This window comes from Homo sapiens, chromosome 1, assembly GCF_000001405.40.
Source record: "Homo sapiens chromosome 1, GRCh38.p14 Primary Assembly".
Lineage (NCBI taxonomy): Eukaryota > Metazoa > Chordata > Mammalia > Primates > Hominidae > Homo > Homo sapiens.
This window is the reverse complement of record NC_000001.11, coordinates 29,199,148-29,220,446: the sequence shown is the minus strand read 5'-3', so window position 1 is coordinate 29,220,446 and position 21,299 is coordinate 29,199,148. Positions and strand designations below refer to the sequence as shown.

The 21,299-nt window shown below is 47.7% G+C and overlaps 1 protein-coding gene across 23 annotated transcripts in view, besides 3 other annotated features; it reads left to right on the top strand.

Moving 5' to 3' along the window:
• The window catches only part of MECR (mitochondrial trans-2-enoyl-CoA reductase), a 63,239-nt gene that overhangs the window by 10,488 nt on the left and 31,452 nt on the right, over positions 1–21,299 (top strand). For 12 of the 23 annotated variants that reach the window (XR_007060748.1, XR_007060747.1, NR_146213.2 and 9 more), the window contains 6 exons: positions 3,762–3,859; positions 4,311–4,442; positions 13,542–13,685; positions 17,214–17,316; positions 18,402–18,504; positions 19,858–19,931. Coding sequence is in view for 16 of the 23 variants with exons in the window: in NM_001349717.2 (NP_001336646.1) it covers positions 3,762–3,859; positions 4,311–4,442; positions 13,542–13,685; positions 17,214–17,316; positions 18,402–18,504; positions 19,858–19,931 (654 nt within the window). In the remaining 7 variants the exon portion in view is untranslated. Of the gene's footprint in view, positions 1–3,634; positions 3,860–4,310; positions 4,443–13,541; positions 13,686–17,213; positions 17,317–18,401; positions 18,505–18,928; positions 19,074–19,857; positions 20,038–21,299 lie in introns of those variants that run through there. The other 11 variants (NR_146215.2, NM_001024732.4, NM_001349712.2 and 8 more) reach the window with 6 other exon arrangements.
• Positions 9,839–9,958: an enhancer, noted in NCBI's record as "active region_610". NCBI's record gives its function as "activates an Ori minimal core promoter by ATAC-STARR-seq in GM12878 lymphoblastoid cells {active_cell/tissue: GM12878}" and the evidence as "EXISTENCE:reporter gene assay evidence [ECO:0000049][PMID:35858748]".
• Positions 10,727–11,228: an enhancer, noted in NCBI's record as "H3K27ac hESC enhancer chr1:29535731-29536232 (GRCh37/hg19 assembly coordinates)". NCBI's record gives its function as "activates a minimal SCP1, AML or CMV promoter by ChIP-STARR-seq in primed H9 embryonic stem cells {active_cell/tissue: H9 hESC(primed)}" and the evidence as "EXISTENCE:reporter gene assay evidence [ECO:0000049][PMID:30033119]".
• Positions 17,326–17,415: a silencer, noted in NCBI's record as "silent region_555". NCBI's record gives its function as "represses an Ori minimal core promoter by ATAC-STARR-seq in GM12878 lymphoblastoid cells {active_cell/tissue: GM12878}" and the evidence as "EXISTENCE:reporter gene assay evidence [ECO:0000049][PMID:35858748]".

Genomic DNA, 21,299 nt, shown 5'->3' with positions numbered 1-21,299 from the left:
GGCCCTGCGCCTGATTTCCTAAATGACTGGCACTTTTTTTTCTTTTGAGACGGAGTCCCACTTTGTCGCCCAGGTTGGAGTACAGTGGCGTGATCTCCACTTGTTGCAACCTCCACCTCCCAGGTTCAAGCAGTTCTCCTGCCTCAGCCTCCCAGATAGCTGGAACTACAGGAGCACACCACCATGCCTGGCTAATTTTTGTATTTTTTTTTTTTTTTAGTAGAGACGGGGTTTCGCCATGTTGATCAGGCTGGTCTCCAACTCCTGACCTCAATTGATCCACCCTCCTCGGCCTCCCAAAGTGCCAGGATTACAGGCGTGAGCCACCATGCCTGGCCATGACTGGCAGTTATGCCACATTTTCTCACTAGTGAGAAAAGTTCGATCCCAGACATTTGCTCAACAGTGAGTTAAGACTAAAACTTCTCTGCCCTCTGGGAGCTCACAGTCTAACAAGGAGATAGCACATATACACATATTCTGACTGCAAAACTAGGTGATAAGTAAAAAGAGCTCTGAACTCAGAGTCTGAAAGACCTGAATCCAAGTTTAAATTTGTATCTGCAGTTCCAAAATCCTGAAAGCGCTGGAAACTGACAGGTTTTTTCTATAACTCATTTGAAGGAAACGATCTAACGAGGTTTTTATGTGGTCTTTATTCATCCCACTTAGCCTGAGTATTCCTACATTTTGCTGCAGAAACATTCATGTATCTGATCACAGGGTGCTACAACAGCCCCCATTGGGTATGTAGATAATACATGGCCCCAAGAGTTTTGGAAAAGGGATTGTGAACCTATGTCTTGTCCTGATCAATTGACAAAAAATGTATGAAATGGCTTCACAAACTAAACATTAGTAAACTCATATGAGATAGTCTTAAATAGCATGATGTATAATTCTGTACAATGGGAATACTGAGCAAGTGATTTTTTTTTTTTCTGGACTAGGAAGAGGGTCAAAAGATATCTTAAGGGAAGTAAACTTTGAACTGGGCCTTGAAGGGTGAGTTGAATTCCTCACTTCATAGAGAAGCTGTGGAAGAAAACATTCTGGGCTATAGGAAGAACGTATAGAAAATGTGCAGAAAAAATGTCTTTAAACAGCTTGAGCACATGAATTTTGTCAGCTTACAGAAAAACTCTGATGATCTGTGAAAATACAGGAGAGAAGCACTGTGGATAATACAAAGGGGCAGCTAGTCCGAAATCCATTTGCTCTGGGCAGGATTTTTCTTTTGAATGCAGACTTAATACACACATTGAGAGTGAAACATCACTATCTGGGCTGATGCCTCCTTGCTTAGTGCCCACCTGTTAGCGCTCCCTCCATCTCCCCATAAGGCAACGGCAGCCGGTCCAGCCTGTGCTCATTTCACTGCCCTCTGCTTGGTGTGGGGTCAGCCCCTTACCTGCTGGCTTCTCTAGATCACACTGCCAGGTTCAAATCAGGTCAGCCACTTGCTACTTTGTAGTGGCCATAAGCAAGTTGTTTACCTCTTAGAGCCTTTGTTCCTCAGCTGTAAAAGCAGAACAATAGTATGAGAGCTATTGTAATAGGAAGGCTGGCAGGTAAAGCACTTAGCAGTGTGCCTGACTGGTAAGCACTGAATAAACAGTAGTTATTACTATTACAAGGGCTCCCCGTCCTCCAGCTATGTGTAAATACATACATTCCTTAATTAAGTAGCTGGGACTACAGGCACACACCACCACACCTGGCTAATTTTTGTATTTTTAGAAGAGATGGGGTTTCACTAGGTTGACCAGGCTGGTCTCGACCTCCTGACCTCGTGATCCATCCACCTCAGCCTCCCAAAGTGCTGGGATTACAGGCGTGAGCCACCGTGCCCAGCTATTATAAAACATTTCTTCAAAATCACACTTTTACCACAAGATCAAGCCTCCAGTATAATTAAAAGGTCAGATTTCTGCAGGAAGTAGGTGGAATTACATCAGCTTAGTTGGGTGATACTGTTGCCTAATGCTAAAAACCTTGTTGGCAGTTATATGTGTCTTGGGTAAGTAAAAATGAATTACTACTTAATAAATGCATTTGGGCAGAGGGAAGCATTGCAAACATGAAATCTAAGGGGTGTGGAGAAAGAAAGAAAGCAGTCACTGGTGATTAAAAAGTCACAGGCCCCATGGGTCCAGTACACTGACCAGTAGTATCTGGTTGGCAGAGCTCCTTTTTTAAAAAGCTTTTTTGAAATAACAAAAGTAACACATGCACATTGCCACTTGGCCTCCCTCAAAAGCCTTCTTGCAGGTTTTGCCCATTAAGCAAAGTTTCACTGGGATAAAGATGTTGCCACCATGGTGTCCAAGACCCACCATGAGCAGAGGGACTTACCACTTAACATGGAAGAGGCTTCCAGAGGGGATCAGGTCCAAACCACCACTGCAACTCTGTTTTACAAATGGAGAAACAGAAGCCTAGAGCAGAGAAGAAACTTGCCCATGGTGACCCAGGCATCCTGCAGTGGAGCTTTATACCCAGGACCTTCAGCCCTCCACCCAGGGTCTTTTCTGCCAGACAAGAATCCTCCTCCAGAAGGGACATCACTCAGAGTGAATCACAGCCATCCAGGGAGTTCTTTGTGAACTACATAGGCCATCTCCCCATTACGCCCACACTCTGCAACTAACAGAAATATCTCCTCTCCCCTGTATATGTTAGGACCAAGAATAAAATCAAACATGTGGAGGACATGTCAGCTAGCCTGGGATTTCCAAGATACCCCGGTTGGTAAGAACTACTTGGGGTGCCCTCATCTGGAGATTCTGGCTTAGTAGATCAGAGGTGGGCCTGATAATTTATATCCATGAGCATACCAGGTAATTCTTATAACTAAGCGAGTTTTGGAAAACACAGGGCTCATCTAGGCCAGCAGAGGTTTCCTGTCCCAGAGTGGGCAGTGGGGTTGAAAGACCGGGCACAGTGGCTCACACCTGTAATCCCAGCACTTTAGGAGGCCGAGGCAGGCAGATCACGAGGTCAGGAGTTCAAGACCAGCCTGGCCAACATAGTGAAACCCCATCTCTACTAAAAAAATAAATAAATAAAATTAGCCGGGCGTGGTGGCAGGCACCTCTAGTCCCAGCTACTTGGGAGGCTGAGGCAGGAGAATCGCTTGAACCTGGGAGGCGGAGCTTTTAGTGAGCCGAGATTGTGTCACTGCACTCCAGCCTGGGTGACACAGTGAGACTCTGTCTAAAAAAAAAAAAAAAAACACTGTGGGTTTTCCACTTGCAGTTAATGAGAGTCAACCTCTATCCTATGTTGATTTCTTTTTTTTTTTTTTTTTTTTTTTTTTGAGACAAAGTCTTGCTTTGTCACCCAGGCTGGATGGCACAATCTCAGCTCACTACAACCTCTGCCTCCCACGTTGAAGCAATTCTTCTGCCTCAGCCACCCGAGTAGCTGGGATTACAGGCGCCGACCACCACGCCCAGCTAATTTTTGTATTTTAGTAGAGACAGGTTTTCACCATGTTGGCCAGGCTGGTCTTGAACTCCTGACCTCAGGTTATCCGCCTGTCTCGGCCTTCCAAAGTGCTGGGATTACAGGCGTGAGCCACCACGCCCAGCCTCCTGTGTTGATTTCTTATGGTACCTCTCTTTTATAACAGAACCGTAATTCCTGGGCACACATGGCAGCTCAGAAATGTTGCCTGACCTACTTTGAGGAGATGATTTGAGCGAAACACCCATTCTAGCCTGGATGACATGAACATCTCCGTTTGGCTTTGTGCTTAGACTCAAGAACCTGGAGCTAGCTGCTGTGAGAGGATCAGATGTCCGTGTGAAGATGCTGGCGGCCCCTATCAATCCATCTGACATAAATATGATCCAAGGTAACCTTGGTTTCTGTGGCTTATGTTAATTGGCTTTTTTGTTCAGCTGCCACCTCATTTTCATTCCTCCTCAGGTGTGGGTGTGAAATGCCTGTGATTAGCAGCAGCTGTTCTCCAGATGAGCCGTCTGCAGGCTGTGTCAGCCCTGTCTGGCCTCCCTTTTCTGGAATGTGTGGCTTTTTGAGAAGATTGCAGTGGGGAGTAAACTAAGCATTGTGAAGTGCCTGCGACATGCTGGTTTCATTTCATATGTTACCTGATTTTCATGATAACCATGAACACTAAAGAATATTGTCCCCCTATACAGACAAGCAAGCTAAGGCTCAGAGGTTGGTTAGGCAGACAGTCCAAAGCAGAGCCCAGATCAGGCCTAGGATGGCGTGGACTCAAGTCCATGCTCTTTCACTGCCCAAACATCACTGGTTGACCCTTTAATGCTCTTCTCCCTCAGGAAACTACGGATTCCTTCCTGAACTGCCTGCTGTTGGAGGGAACGAAGGTGTTGCACAGGTGGTAGCGGTGGGCAGCAATGTGACCGGGCTGAAGCCAGGAGACTGGGTGATTCCAGCAAATGCTGGTTTAGGTGAGTTTCTCCAGGTGTCAGCTGCCTATTCGTTCTTCCAGATCCTATTTCACCCACTCTGTCGGCATCCACTGATTGGCCGAGTGTACCTGGGTAATGCAGGGTTTATTTTTTTTATTTATTTATTTATTTTGAGACGGAGTTTTGCTCTTATTGCCCAGGCTGGAGTGCAATGGCGCGATCTCAGCTCACCAAAACCTCCGCCTCCCCAGTTCAAGTGATTCTCCTGCCTCAGCCTCCCAAGTAGCTGGGATTACAGGCGCCTACCACCACGCCCGGCTAATTTTTGTATTGTTAGTAGAGATGGGGTTTCACCATGTTGGCCAGGCTGGGTCTCAAACTCCTGACCTCAGGGATCCGCCTGCCTCGGCCTCCCAAAATGCTGGGACTGCAGGCCTGAGCCACCACGCTTGGCCTTGTTTTGTTTTTTTTTGAGACAGGGTCTCACTTTGTCACCTGTGCTGGAGTGCAGTGACGCGATCTCGGCTTACTGCAGCCTCCCAGGTTCAAGCGATTCTCCTGCCTCAGCCTCCCGAGTAGCTGGGATTACAGGTGTACACCATCACGCCCGACAAATTTTTGTATTTTTAGTAAAGAGGGGGTTTTATCATGTTGACCAGGCTGGTCTCAAACTCCTAACCTCAGGTGACCCACCACTCAGCCTCCCAAAGTGCTGGGATTACAGGCATGAGCCACTGTGCCGAGTCTGAATTTTGTTTATACATGGAGATGAGCCAAAATTCACTTCATGTGGAGGATGTAAAATGAGGAAAGACACAAAGGTGAGATTGGGAAATGGTGGAAAATCCATTGTAGCCTCAGCAGAGGGTTTGCATATGGGAGAGGATTGCACGAGTGAGAAAGAAGGCCAGAAAGGCAGGTTCAATCACGTGAGCCCAGGAGTTCTAGGCTACAGTGAGCTATGATCGCACCATTGCACTCCAGCCTGGGCAACAGAGTGAGACCCTGTCTATTTTTTTTTAAAAAGGTAGCTTGTGTCCACATGGGGTAAGGCCCTGCCCAAGCCAAGCTAATGAGTAGGATTTTGTTTGATATATTATAAGGAGTCATAGGTGAGTTTTGTTTTTAGCACTTAACAGTTTTCAAGGCACGTCTGTTATTGATCCTCACAGCAGCTACAAGAGGGAAGCAGGGCAGGTATTATCCATCCATTGGACATAAATTGAAGCTTGAGAAGTAAAGCCCTGGCCCAAAGTCAAACAGCAAAATGAGAGTGCCCACTGGATTCTTTCTCCTGGGTTCCCATTACACACCAGTGTTATGATCTTCTGGGTTGTAACTTACAGCGACCCAGCTCAAACTTGCTTTAAAAAAAGAAGTTGGGGCCAGGCGTGGTGGCTCACGCCTGTAATCCCAGCACTTTGGGAGGCCGAGGTGGTGGATCACCTGAGATCAGGAGTTCAAGACTAGCCTGGCCAACATGGTGAAACCCTGTCTCTAATAAAAATAAAAAAATTAGCCGGGTGTGGTGGCATGCGTCTGTAGTCACAGCTACCCGGGAGACTAAGGCAGGAGAATCTCTTGAACTCAGTAGGTGGAGGCTACAGTGAGCCGAGATCATGCCACTGCACTCCAGCCTGGGCAACAGAGTGAGACTCCATCTCCAAAAAAAAAAAAAAATAAGGCCAGGCGCAGTGGCTCATGCCTGTAATCCCAGAACTTCGGGAGGCCATGGCAGGCAGATCACCTGAGGTCAGGAGTTTGAGACCAGCCTGGCCAACATGGTAAAACCCCGTCTCTTCTAAAAATAAAAAATTAGCCAGGCATGGTGGCGTGCACCTGTAGTCCCAGCTACTCGGGAAGTTGAGGCAGGAGAATCACTTGATCCCAGGAGGCGGAGGTTACAGTGAGCCGAGATTGTGCCACTGCACTCCAACCTGGGCGACAGAGTAAGACTCCATCTCAAAAAAAAAAAAAAAAAAGAAAGTTGATTTGTGGAACTGGGAAGTGTAACAGAGTGAAAGCTTCGGGTTCAGCTAGATCCAGGAACCCCAGTACTATCAGAGTTGTGTCTCTCACTTGTTCTTAGATGAGATCTCCCCACATATTGATATAATCAAACCAACAAATATTTATTGGCCACTCTCTTTGTGCCAGGCACTGCTCTAAGCACTTCATGTATATTAACTCAATTGTTCCCACAACATGAGATGGATACCTCATCATTCCCACTTTGCAGGTGATATAACAGTAAATGCAGCAGAAAACTGTAAACTGTTAAGCAGTTTGTCCAAGGTCACCCAGCCAAAAGTGATGGAGTTAGAATTCAGATCCACTCTGATACATACCTCTCATAGATGGCCACCAGCAGCCTGAGGTTCATATCACCCTAAAAACAAACAAATGAGCATATCCTCCACAATCATGTCCAGCACAACCATATCCATCCCCCAGAAGGGCCCTGAATGGGCCTTGCCCATCCCTGAACCAGTCCCCTGGGGCGGGGTAGGGCCACTCCGGTTGCTCTGATTGAGTCTCTCACCCTCCTCTGTGATACAGGTGGGGCCTTGTGGTTGACAGCCCCAGAGATTAGGAAGGAGCACTTGTAGAGAGAAAAAGATACTAGGCAGGAAAAAAAAAAACAGTAATAGGAGTCTACTACAAGCTCTTTGCTTCTCTGAGATCAGGAAGGCTGCCAAGAATGGCTCCACCGTCTCCTACACCCACCTGGCGGTGAAGGAGCTCAGCCATTTGAGCAAATTGAGAGCTGCAAGGATTCACTGGATCCTGATGCCAGTGCTTCGGGCCAGCCCCCGTGCTAAGTGAAGGTCCTATCAAGGTGAGCAGACAGTTCCTGCCCTCAGAGTGCTCTTGGCTGGCAGTGGGAGGCCCAGAAATGGAAAAACAACACTTAATACAATACAGTATTACAAGTGCCATAATCACAGGATTGACACCAAGACAAGAGTCCTCTATCTTGGAAAGCGTTAAGAAAGGCTTCCCAGAGAAGTGATGCTTGAACTCAGTCTGGAAGAGCTGCTGGAAGTGCAGCCAGTGGGCTAGGTGAGGAGGGGCTTCCCAGGCACAGAGTGCAGCGTGTGTGAACGTAAGTGATGAGAGAAGGCACAGCACTGGTGGGGAACTGCAGGTAGCTCAGGGTGGCTGGCTCATGGGTGCGAGTGGGAGAGAAGTGAGATGGAGCTGGAAAGGTGGGGTGGGGCTGGGTCCCAGCGGTCCTGCATCCACGGTGCGAGGGGTACCAACAGAGAGTTAAGTAGAGGAATGATTTGATAGGATTTGTGCAATGCAGAGAATGGTCTGGAAACCATTGGTCTGGAAAGGCAGAGGGTGGAGGCAGAAAGCCAGTGAGGAGGTGGGCAAACAAGTCAGGCTTCAGATGATGAAGTGTGAGGGTCTGAATAAGACAGTGTCGTAGGGCTGGAGAAGAGGGCATGGAGTCAAGGGCTAAAGTAACAGGACTTGGCAATACTTTCAGTTTGGAGAAGAGAACAATAAAGGATGTCTGCCAGGTGTATGGGTAATTGTACATGTGGTGGTGGGGGTACCCAGAACAGGGATTCTTCCCTGGAGAAAAGGTGATTCTTTTGTTTTGTTTTGTTTATCTTTTGAGACAGAGTCTCGCTCTGTTGCCCAGGCTGGTGCAATCTTGGCTCACTGCAACCTGCAACCTCCACCTCATGGGTTCAAGCAATTCTCCTGCCTCAGCCTCCCGAGTAGCTGGGACTACAGGCGCCCACCACTACACCTGGCTAATTTTTGTACTTTTAGTAGAGATGGGGTTTCGTCTTGTTGGCCAGGCTGGTCTTGAACTCCTGACCTCAGGTGATCTGCCCGCCTCGGCCTCCCAAAATGTTGGGATTACAGGCATTGAGCCACTGCGCCTGGCCAGCAGGTGAGTCTTTTAAGCAAGGTGCCAGCCAGAGAGGATGAGGATTTTATAATTGTGAGGACTGCAATTAACTCAGTGTATTCAGTAAACATTTTGTGAGCATCTGCAGCATGCTGGGCTTGAGGACACAGCAGTGAACAGACATGGTCTTTCTTCTCGTGAAGACTGCCATTTAGTAAGAGTGGCAACTATTAAACAGGTAAGTTCTTAGTTGGCCACAGCTTGGTCATTTTTCATGGTTCTGAGCTGCCTAGCTGTTGCTAAGCCCATAGCCAGCCTTTTCCCACGTGCAGCCAATCCCAGGGGAGACCAGACCAGATGGTGTGGATAGATCTTTGCCAACTGACTTTCTCCTTGGGAAATATGCAAAACCTTCCTGAGGAAGCACAGAGCCGTAGAAAGTGCACTGGCTTTGGAATCAGGGGGCAAGTTCTCTTTCCAGCTCCGCTGTATGACCTAATTTAAGTCACAGCTACTTTGAGCCTCAGTTTTTTCATCTCGAAAATGGGACTAATTGTCACTGCCTAGCATGTCTCAGCAGTACTCAACTGAGAATATATGCAATGATCTTTGCAAATGCCAAATTTCTGTATGCATTAGATCAGGAGTTGGCAAATTTTTATCTTAAAGGGCCAAATAGTAAATATTTTAGGCTTCGTAGGCTATATCATCTTTGTGACTACCCAACTCTACTATCGTAAACAGCCACAGGCAATATATAAACAATTGAGTGAACATGGCTGTGTTCCAATAAAACTTTATTTACAGGACCAGGCATGGTGGCTCATGCCTGTAATCCCAGCATGGGAGGCCAAGGCGGGCAGATCGCTTGAGTCCAAGAGTTCAAGAATGGCCTGGGCAACTTGGTGAAAGTCCATCTCTACAAAAAATTAGCGAAGTGTGGCAGCGTACACCTGTAGTCCCAGCCACTGGGGAGGCTGACATGGAAGGATAGCTCGAGACCAGGAAGCAGAAGTTGCAGTAAGCCACACTCCAACCTGGGCAACAGAGTAAGACTCTTGTCTCAAAACAAAAAAAAAAAAAACCCTTTATTTACAAAAACAAGTGGTGAGGCAGATTTAGCCCACAGGCCACAGTTTGCTGACCCCCAAGTTCAACAATGGAGATGGTTAAGGGTCAGTTGCATATGACTGAGGAATTGGGAATCCTCAGAGCTAAAGTCTGGGAATTAGCATCATTAAAGGAAAACAATGTGTGTTATACACCCACTGTGTACTAGGCATAGTGATAGTCTCTGTACAAATGTCTTTAGTTTAATCTTCACACTATGACATAAGTGTTACTCTCTGCATTTCACAGATTAGGGAAATGGAAACTCAAAAAAGGTGAAGTGATCATTCAAAGTCACACACTAGTGAGTGGTAGAGCCAGGGTTTTTAAGCAGGTCTCTCCAACTTCAAGCCTAAGAGTTCTACTTGAAACCCTGAAAGCCCTTGTCTCTGACCACGGGTGCTGCCTCCCTCCCACCCAGAGTCTCTTGAGAAGAGGATTAGGGACTGCTAAGCCCCAGAAATCCATATCAAGGGTTGGATTTCCATTGTCGTGCCATAAGGGGAATTAGAAAATGCCCTGGATTTCATACATAGAAAGCCCTGCACTAAGCATTTGGTGCACGGTAGAGTACAGTAAGTGTTAGCTGAGATGAATGGGAACGATGATTTGAAGGCCAGTCCGGGGGAAGCCCACAGGATGCTGGGGCACTTCCTGGATTACAGAGGAATCCTCGCCTTTTCAGTCTCTTATTTTCTCAGCCATAGACCTACTCTAGGATTGACACAGCCTTCTATAAAAAGTGTTCCTGGGCCGGGTACAGTGACTCATGCCTATAATCCCAGCACTTTGGGAGGCCAAGATGGGCGGATCACGAGGTCAGGAGATCGAGACCATCCTGGCTAACACAGTGAAACCCCATCTCTACTAAAAAATACAAAAAAATTAGCCGGGTGTGGTGGCGGGCACGTGTAGTCCCAGCTACTTGGGAGGCTGAGGCAGGAGAATGGCGGGAGCCTTGGAGGCAGAGCTTGCAGTGAGCTGAGATCGTGCCACTGCACTCCAGCCTGAGCGACAAAGCAAGACTCCATCTCAAAAAAAAAAAAAAAAGTGTTCCTGCCTCCTGTCCCCAGTTCTTGGTCCCTAAAGCCCACATTGACATCCCCGTTTCCTATAGCACAGTTAGTGATTACCCAGGCTGCCCCCTGCTTCCCACAGCTGACCCACATAGGACCAGGACACCATTAGAATCCCAGCAACTGGATAGTGAGCAGGCATGCCCAAGAGCTTTGGAAGCATAGGCCAAGGGCCCCGAGCTGCCACTGTGACCAGATGCTGAGCCAACAAGGCTCCAAGCAATTTCCCTAAGGTGACACAGTGAGGACACTGTGGAACCAAGGCTGGAGTCTCTCTGACTCCAAAGCCTACCCTCTTCACCCCTTCTTCATACAAGATCCTGCCTGTGTGAGTGCAGACCCCTCACGCAGTCCTCACCAAATCCTATTGATTCTGTCTTTAAAATAGAACTCAAATCCATCTTCTGTTCCTCATCCCCACTGCCAAAGTCCCAGACTAGGCAGCCATCATCTCATACCTCGACCCCCACAAAGACCTCTGGCTTCCACGCTGCCCCTCCCCACTCCACAGTCTTCACCCAGCAATAAAGTGATCTTAAAGCATACATCGGATCATCTCAGTCTCCTCTTAAAGCTTGTTACAGGCTTCCCACTCACTCATTCACTAAAACAAGATCAGTTCTCCATACCACAGTGCTGAGGTCATGTTCTCATACCACAGGTTGTGACCCATTCGAGAAATCAATCTAGTGAGTTGCAAATAGCACTTTTTAAAATTAAAGTTGAGCAGAAAAGAATGAAAAATAGCAGAGTATCACACATAGTAAGGGTAAGTATTCTGTGAAACACAGGCTTGTGTTACACGTACATTCATGTATGTATATGTACGAATTCACAGTGGAACTCATGGTTACTGTGGGTCAGAATTCTGAAAGTCTAATATCACCTGCCCGGCCCCTGCTGCATCAGCCAGGCCAGCCATGTCTCAAGCCACTCTTCCCATCACTCTCCACCCTGCGGTGCAGCATCATCCCATCCCAGTCCTTTGTCCTGCTACAGCATCTCTGCATCTGCTGCATGCCCTACCTAAGATGTTCTTTGTGTGCTCTGAGACGGTAGCACCTCTATCCTTTCACTCTTAGCCTGTCACCTCCTCAGAGAAGTATCCTTGACTCCCATCTAAAGTAATTCTCTTGATGTTCCTGTCTCTTTATAATTTATCATTATCATATCTGCTTTTTTTCACCTGTTCGACTCCACTAGAATGAAACTAAGGAAACTGTCTGTATTGTTCAAGTGCCTGGGTGCAAGATAAATATCTGTAGATGGAAGGAAGGCAGCCCAGATACCCAGGTTCCAGCTCCAACTCTGCCTAGATAAGCCAGGGGGCTCTGGGCAAGTCACTTCCTCATTTCCTCCCCTGTTGCATGAGGGGTTCAAAGTCGATGTTCGATAAGGGCCTTCTCAGTACTGACATTCTAGAATTCTTTTGTCTGGAACTGGAATGTGGGCTGGGAGTTGATGCTCATTTCTTTCAAGCTTATAGAATTTTTCATTTCCTTATCTCATTTGATTTCTACAGTAGCTCCTGGAGGAGGCGAGTCAGGCTGTTCTTGCCTGTGCTATTTACACATTAGAGTAACTAAAACTCAGTGACAGGAATTTTCTCAAACTAGCAGAATAGCAAAACCAGGTTTGGCATCTGTGCTCTTGACTTCTACTTTTATGCTTTGTTGCCTAAAACTACCTGAGTCAGGCCGGGCGCAGTGGCTCACGCCTGTAATCCCAGCACTCTGGGAGGCCGAGGCGGGCGGATCAGCTGTGGTCAGGAGTTCGAGACCAGCCTGGCCAACATGGTGAAACCCATCTCTACTAAAAATACAAAAATTAGCCGGGCGTGGTGGCAGGTGCCTGTAATCCCAGCTATTCGGGAGGCTGAGGCAGGTGAATCGCTTGAACCCAGGAGGCAGAGGTTGCAGTGAGCCGAGATCATGCCATTGCACTCCAGCCTGGGAGACAAGAGCAAGACTTCATCTTAAAAAAAAAAAACATGTGAGTCAACCTGCTCTGGATGAGAAGAATGAGGACTGTGTAGGAAAAAGGGGGCTTTCTCAGCTTCTCCTGCCCTGGTGGTAATGTTACTACTGTCTTACCCTTAGATTGCAGCAGTTTGAGGTCATTAACTACCTGCACGGTGACATTAACTAAATCTAATGGTAACTCAGAGAAGCAGCCTCTCTGAATCGCCCTTACAATGGTATTTGGCATATTTTGTTTTGGTTTGTTTTTTGTTTTTTGGGTTTTTTTGAGACAGGTTCTTGCTGTGTCACCGAGGCTGGAGTGCAGTCACACAATCATAGCTCACTGTGTCCTTAAATTACTGGGCTCAAGCAATCTTCCCACTTCAGCCTCATGAGAAGCCGGGACTGCAGGGCATTATGCCCAGCTAATTTTTTTTTTTTTTTTTTCTGTAGAGACAAGGTCTCACTATGTTGCCCAGGCTGGTCTTGAGCTCCTGGCCTCAAGCAGTCCTCCCACCTTGCCTCCCAAAGTGCTGAGATTATAGGCATGAGCCACCACACCCCATTTTTACTACATGTTTAAGATAAGAATGACTGTCTATTTTGGGCCAGGCACAGTGGCTCATGTGTGTAATCCCAGCACTTTGGGAAGCCGATGCAGGCGAATCACCTGAGACCGGGAGTTCAAGACCAGCCTGACCAACAAGGCAAAACCCTGTCTCTACTAAAAATAAATAAATTAGCCATGTATGGTAGTGCATGCCTGTAATCCCAGCTACTCAGGGGGCTGCAGCATAAGAATCACGAACCCAGGAGGCGGAAGTTGCAGTGAGCCAAGATCGCGCCATTGCACTCCAGCCTGGGCTACAGAGCAAGACTCTGTCTCCAAAAAAAAAATTAAAAAGAATAACAATCTATTGTGCATAATTATCATGAGGACTCAGACATTCAGAGGAACGTCCAGATTTTCTTCTTTTTCTAAACATCCTGGATGCTATCCTGGATGCTTCCAGTGGATGCTACCCACTATCCTGGATGCTTCTTGGCCAAGGAGGGTGAGCTGGGGTTGAATGTGCACAGGGCTCCTTCCTTATGATCCTGGCTTCATCTTCTGACTCAGGAACCTGGCGGACCGAGGCTGTGTTCAGCGAGGAAGCACTGATCCAAGTTCCGAGTGACATCCCTCTTCAGAGCGCTGCCACCCTGGGTGTCAATCCCTGCACAGCCTACAGGATGTTGATGGACTTCGAGCAACTGCAGCCAGGTAGGAACCCACAGGTTGGGGGAGCAGGCCAGGGTCTCGCAACTAGGGTGCCACTCACATCCTGACCCCAAGGCCAGGAGAACTTGCAAGGTGGAGGTTTTGAGGGGGTGATGGACCTCTCACCTGGGTGAATGTTGTTGCTTTCACTTAGAAAGATGTTAGCTTGGTTCCTAGGAAACATGCTGAAACCTCATGAGGAGTACACTCTCGAAAACTGCTGCAGGGTCACATTCTCTAGAGCTTGGGATTGAATTCTGTCATTCAGCAAAAATGTGTTGAGCTGGGGCTAAGCTCTGGGATACAAAGGCAGACAAGATAGACACAGTCCCTATGTTTTCAATAAAATGCTGAACTTAGTGTTAATAATTCCACTCAGCGTTTACATAGCACTTTCCAGTTCACAGAAGTGCGTTGACAGGCATTATCCCCGTTGAGTGCATGAAATCTTCACAGCATTGCAGTAAGGTTGGTACCATCATTGGTTAAGAGCTCAAGCTCTGGGCAGATAACCTGGGTCTGACCCCAGGCTTCACCTTTCCCTGACTGTGAATTTGCCTCTCAAATCATCAGATTTTTCTTCTGTAAAATGGAGAATAAAGAACGTGGAGGGTGAAACACTACAGCATAATACTTCACACAGTGCTGGGCATACAGTGCAGAGACTGTCCGCTGCTTATATTCTTCTTCCCTTTCATAAATGGGAAAACTGAGGTCCAGAAAGGTAAACTATTTGCATGAGATCAGCCAGGGAGTAAATGACAGAGCCAAGTGTTTTTATTTGGGTTTCTCTGAAAGCAGAGCCTAAGACCAGCACTGGGTGCAGAGAGTTTGTTTGGGAAGAAGAAATGAAGGGGAGTGGGGAGAGTGAGACAGAGATGGAGGCAAAGCCCATGAAGCCCGGTTACTGCTGCGGGCAACTACTGCTCCGGCTGTTTTTTTGAGACAGTCGTGCTCTGTCGCCCCGGCTTGAGTGCAGTGGCGTGGGCTCACTGCAACCTCCACCTCTCGGGTTCAAGGGATTCTCCTGCCTCAGCCTCCCAGGTAGCTGAGACTACAGGTGCCTGCCACCATGCCTGGCTAATTTTTGTATTTTTAGTAGAAATGGGGTTTCACCATATTGGCCAGGCTGGTCTCTAACTCCTGACCTTGTGATCCGCCCACCTCAGCCTCCCAAAGTGCTGGGATTACAGGCGCGAGCCACCCACCCCCAGCCGGCCTGCTCAGTCTTGCTGGGGCCCTCTGAAGACTCTCAGAACCCACTGCAGAATTAACCCTTAAGGCCAGGCATGGTGTCTCATGCCTGTAATCCCAGCACTTTGGGAGGCTGAAGCTGGCAGATCACTTGAGGTCAGGGGTTTGAGACCAGCCTGGCCAACATGGTGAAAACCCGTCTCTACTAAAAATACAAAAATTAGCCCGGCGTGGTGGCAGCGCCTGTGACCCCAGCTACTCAGGAGGCTGAGGCAGGAGAATCGCTTGAACCCGGGAGGCGGAAGTTGCAGTGAGCCAAGATTGCACCACCGCACTCCAGCCTGGGCAACAGAGCAAGACACCATCTCAAAAACAAAACAAAACAAAACAAAACAAAAACTAACCCTTGAATGATGAGAGGCTGGGCCAGTTTTCCACTAATTCTCACACCCCATTGTTTAAGGGTCGCCCTAAGGGCATTAACCTCCTGGGCTGCCTCTGCACACCATGCACATCCATGCACATCCGTGAGCCGCAGTGGCTGTAGAACTCACCCAAGCCACCTCTCATACCAGCGAAGAAACTGAGGCCCACAGTTGTTGGAGTGTGATGAAACATGGTGCCCAGCCACTGTCCAAGGCCTGGCTGAAAGCCGATGCCAGTTCCCACAAGAGAAATATAGGTTTCTTGCAACTATGGCAGATGGTTCCTGGGAGCCTTTGGTGGAGAAAGCCAGTGGCTGTGACCAGGGACCTTTGCTGGAGTCCTAGTGCAGCAGACACTTTGTTTGCTTGCATCCCATGCCCTAAAGCCACCTCCCATTTAGGCTGCAGCTGTAGTAACAGATCTAGGCATTTCGACGCTGCCCACCCTAAGTACCCACTGCACACCTCTCCACTTTCCTGCCTCAAGGCTGATATGGCCTGAACTAGATCACTGTTGAATAAACTTAGGATCTTGACACATGGTAAGAATTACATTTTATATTGTGATCAGTTTATACAAATAGGAATATATATATAATGGAAACCAAAGTTTCGTGAAATACCCTTACTATGTGTGACATACTCTGTTATTTTTTATTCTCTTCTCAATTTTAACTTTAAAAAAAAAAGGTGCTTGCAACCAACTAGATTGATTCATAATCCACTGGTGGGTGACAACCTGTACGTTGACCCCTGGTGAAGACGAGTGGGCATTCTTCTTCCAGGAAGTCCTCTATCTCTAGTTTCAGCCCGTTGTGTGACAGATCCCTGCTGCCTCTCAAAAACCAGATAGCATTTCAAATTCAACAAAGCACTTTCCCGGACACGATGCATTTGACTCTAATCGGGGGCACTTTTTTTTTTTAATAGAGGGAGTCTCGCTCTGTCACCCAGGCTGGAGTACAGTGGCGCGATCTCAGCTCACTGCAACCTCCACCTCCCGGGTTCAAGCGATTCTCCTGCCTCAGCCTCCCTAGTAGCTGGGATTATATTTTAAGGGAAGGAAACTGAAGTTCACAGAGGTCATGACTTGCCCTGTCTGTTTAGTTACAATCATTGGTGAAACTGAGACTCATGCCCAGATCTGTCTCATTCCAGAGCCCACATTTTTCCCAGCATGTCACACCGCCTTCCCCAATGGCCAGGTCCAAAGCTAAACCTGGGCTTTGCCACAGAACTGTAGGACCCTGTTTCAGGGGCTGCCAGTTTCTCCAGCGCAGCTGTAATCCCATTTCAAGGCAGTGCACCTTTATTAAACACTGCAGAGAGGAATAGGGCATGACCCTTCCCTCTCAAGAAGCTGCAAGCTGTTGATAGAAATGGACCTATATACAATGAAGTGTAAGATGGGGCAGACCGTGGTATGTGCATTAATACAGATGCCCACAGAGCACTGTGGGAGCACATAGAGGGAACAATCCAGGAAGGCTTCATGAAGGCTGCACTTGAGCTGCGCTTCAAAGGATCTACAGGATTTCAATAGGAAGGAAGAGAGAAGGAGGGAAACATTGCAAACCAAGGAAATAACCTAAGTAAAGACTTGAGGACATAAAAGTTGGGAGGATGACGAAGGCTATAAAATATTTTACATAGCAGGGCAGGGTCTAAATTATATCCAGTGTAGATGCTGAGTTGCCAAGTCCTGGGAGGCATCGTGAGTGTTGTGGAAGTTTAGGAGGCATTAGGAGAACAGTGAGAAACAGTGGAAGGTCTGAGAAGACTCAGCAGCCAGGTCCTGGGTCCCTGTTGAGCCTGAGGACTCCCTTGCCTACAGAAGGATCCCCGGCTGGGAGCCTTTGACCTATTGCAGATCTATACAGGGCTTGATTTGGTTCTCTTCCTGGCTCCACAGGGGATTCTGTCATCCAGAATGCATCCAACAGCGGAGTGGGGCAAGCAGTCATCCAGATCGCCGCAGCCCTGGGCCTAAGAACCATCAATGTGGTCCGAGACAGGTGCGTGGGGAAGGAGGCTTCATCCCAGACCATGTCTTGGGTCTTTCCCACCTCCCATCCCTGCGGTGCCCAGTTGTCCACCAGAGGGCGCCCTTGCATAAGCATAAACTGGCTTTAGGCATCGCTAACAGTTGGCGGCTGAAACAGATGAGTCAGTCCTAAGAAATGAAGTCCAGCTGGCTTTTGGCGATAGGATGAGTGAATCTGACATGTAAAGAGAGGGCAGGAAGGAGGTGGAGACTGCCCTTACTGAATAGCTAAGACTTTCTGAGACTCTTGGCTTGTGATAACCTCATGTTTTCAAAACCCCAGTTGATATTTGGGAATGATTTGAGCTGTATTATTCTTTCTGTGAACTGTCTAACCCAAGGCCCCTTTACCCTTGCTTTTGTGTGGTACTTGGAAGTGCGCTAAATACAGACGTGAAGGAGACAGGGGCAGGTTTGTCATCTGTCTTTTACAGATGAGGAAACTGAAGTTTCAGGGAGCAGCTTGCCCTGGAAGACACAGCAAGTCAGTAATAGACTCGGTTTCCTCACTTACTCTCTTTCCATCATATCGTCCAGTTTCTCTAGGCCTCACTGTCCATGAATGTGGCTGTGGCTGTCATGGAAGCCCACTCTTAGTATAATCGACACCAGCTTCAGTTCCTCAGTTGTACTCGCAAAAATAATTCCATTTGCCTTAACCAAAGAGACCCAGAGCCACTCCTGGTCTAGACTGTGTATGTCCAACACTCTGAAGAACCACTTGAAAAGAGGGGGGAAGTGGAGTTTGTCCTTTCAGTAGAAGAAATCAGGAAGTTAAGTGACTTCTCCCTGGGCACAGATGGCTTCTAACACTATTGAGCTGTCAGGGCCTGTGAAAACCACCCAGTCTCACTCTGTTGCCAGTGAGGAGACAGCCAAGAGCTATTGAAGCTGCATGAAATTAGGTGGCTGGTCCCTGCTCAAGCCTGGCTTAAACCTAATCCCAGCTTCCTGCAAAAAGAAGCACGGGTTCTCCCAGCTGTGGCAGAGAGGTCCTGGGGGGCTTTGGTGGAAAAAGCTGGCAGATGTGACCAGGGACCTATGTTTGGTTTCCAGACCTGATATCCAGAAGCTGAGTGACAGACTGAAGAGTCTGGGGGCTGAGCATGTCATCACAGAAGAGGAGCTAAGAAGGCCCGAAATGAAAAACTTCTTTAAGGTACCTAGGAAGAGGGACATTGCCCCTCCAGTCCACGCACATCTCCCTGAAGAAAGTTGACATGCATTAGAGAAACTGGGGACTGGCCCCATTGTTCCTCTCTGGAAACCTCCCTTTGCCTCTTGGTTGGTTAAAGCCCATTCCCCCTAGCCAGGCGGCAGGCAGCACGCATTAAGTGCCCAGATGCTGGGAGGGAGGCATGAGAAACAGAGTTTAGGAAACCCAGTATGACTTGCAGTTTAAACGTTTGTGGTGGGCCGCATCAGCCCACATGTGTGACTCTTAGAACTGGCAGGAGAGGACCTGAGGAAACAGAGACACAGAAAGAGAAAGAAAAGAAGTAACCTTTCCCAACCACCTGCCTTACATTTTATCTGATGATTTCCACAAAAGCTTTTCAAAGGAACTGTTATCTGTTTTACAGATTAGGAAACTAAGACTCAGAAAAGAGGAAATGCTTAACCAAAATCATATAGTTTATAAGGGCTCCAGAGAGTCAGAGCTGGCCTCAGTCTCTCCGAACTCAAAGCCTCTTAACCTTCCAGAACCTCCACCCCACAACATGCCTAGTAAGTGACCAGACCCTCAGCCCCTTTTCACTGAACCATCTGGAGGAACCAAAGACACACACTCAAGAGCATGCGCTTCTTGCGAACATTTCTGAAGCAGTAGATCAGCATATATAATATCAGCTGAGTCAAAGAACTGAAAAGGGGGGCACACAGGGAGCTGAAACCCACCAAACTGCATGCAGATGCCCTTTGCCTATTCTTTCCCAGAGAAGATGAGTTCTGCCAGGTCCTAAAATGGACAACAGGATTAAGTTGCTACAGAAAAGGCCCTTCTTGGCTGGATGAGGTGACTCATGCCTGTAATCCCAGCACTTCGGGAGGCCAAGGCAGGCGGATTGCTTGAGTCTGAGAGTTTGAGACTAGCCTGAGCAACATAGTGAGACCTCTGTCTCTACAAAAAAACATTTTTTTTTAATTATCTGGTCATCATGATACTCATCTGCAGTCCCAGCTACTTGGGAGGCTGAGGTGGGAGGATTGCTTGAGCCCAGGAGGGTAAGGTAGCAGTGAGCCATGATTGCACCACTGCACTCCAGCCTGGGTAACAGAGCGAGACCCTGTCTTAGAAAGAAAAAGAAAAAAGAAAGAAAAGACACTTCCTAAGCAGAGAAAAAGGTGAGTTCAAAGGCATAAACACACACACATATACATAAGTACGTGCACGCAAACAAAGGCATAAACATCTCATTTACTCCCTCCTTTTAACACAGCACTTGGGCAAGCTTCAGACCCCATATGTAGAGCGGGGATGCTCCCTCACTGCACTTTTGTTGTTTTCCAGGACATGCCCCAGCCACGGCTTGCTCTCAACTGTGTTGGTGGGAAAAGCTCCACAGAGCTGCTGCGGCAGTTAGCGTAAGTCCCTTGGGCCTGCAGGTCCAGCTCGCCAGAGCTCTCCAGGTCTTTAGCTGGGAGGACCATCAAGTGACTGAGTCCCATCGCCAGTTCGAGCCAAGTCCAGGTCAGCACAATGTTGAGTGGAAACTAGGACCAAAGTCATCCAGCTATTTGGGCACTGGTTTCTCAGCCTTCCCCTTTGCAGATGACCAAAATTTTGGCCTATCCAGCTTTATTTTTCCAAGGGACCCCAGAAGTAGACTGCTAAGCTGCCTGCCATAGAGGAATAGTCAAGGATTTATAACCTAGGGATGTCTGAAAAAGTCACTTAGTCCTAACTTATTTAACCTTTCAAAATTTGTATTAGCTTTTAAAATAGATTCTAATTTTAAAGGTAACATTATGCTTATTACAAAACATTTTGAAAACATGTAAAAGTGCAAAGGAAAACTTAAGCATAAAAGTTTCCTGTTGGCTGGGCACTGTGGCTCATGCCTATAATCCCAGTAATTTGGGAGGCCAAGGAGGAAGCATCACTTGAGGCCAGGAGTTCGAGACCAGCCTGGGTAACATAGTGAGACCCCATCACTACAAAAAAAAAAATTAATTTTTTTTTTAAGTTACCTGGCCAGGCATAGTGGTTCATGCTTGTAATCCCAACAAGACAGGCAGATCACTTGAGGCCAGGAGTTTAAGACCAGCCTGGCCAACATGGCAAAACTCCATCTCTACTAAAAATACAAAAAGACTAGCCAGGTGTGGTGGCAGGCACCTGTAATCCCAGCTACTTGGGAGGCTGAGTCACGAGAATCATTTGAATCCAGGAGGTGGAGGTTGCAGTGAGCCGAGATCACACCACTCTACTCCAGCCTGGGTGACAAAGGGAGATTCCATCTCAAAAAAGAAAAAAAAAAGTTACCTATCACCCCACTACCAAGGGGGATAAGCCCTGTTGACAATATTAATGCATGTCCTTCCATTCTTCTTTCCCTTAATATAAGCTTCTAGGCCGGGCGCAGTGGCTCAAGCCTATAATCCCAGCACTTTGGGAGGCTGAGGCGGGCAGATCACGAGATCAGGAGATCGAGACCATCCTGGCTAACACGGTGAAACCCCGTGTCTACTAAAAATACAAAAAATTAGCCAGGTGTGGTGGCGGGCACCTGTAGTCCCAGCTGCTCAGGAGTCTGAGGCAGGAGAATGGCGTGAACCCCGGAGGCAGAGCTTGCGGTGGGCCGAGATTGCGCCACTGCACTCCAGCCTGGGCGACAGAGGGAGACTCCGTCTCAAAAAATAAAAATAAAAGCTTCTTGAGCTAGAGTGTGTGTAAAAAGACACTTCCTAATTAAAGCAGGAACCCCCTCAATAGTACGGATTCAGCTAGCG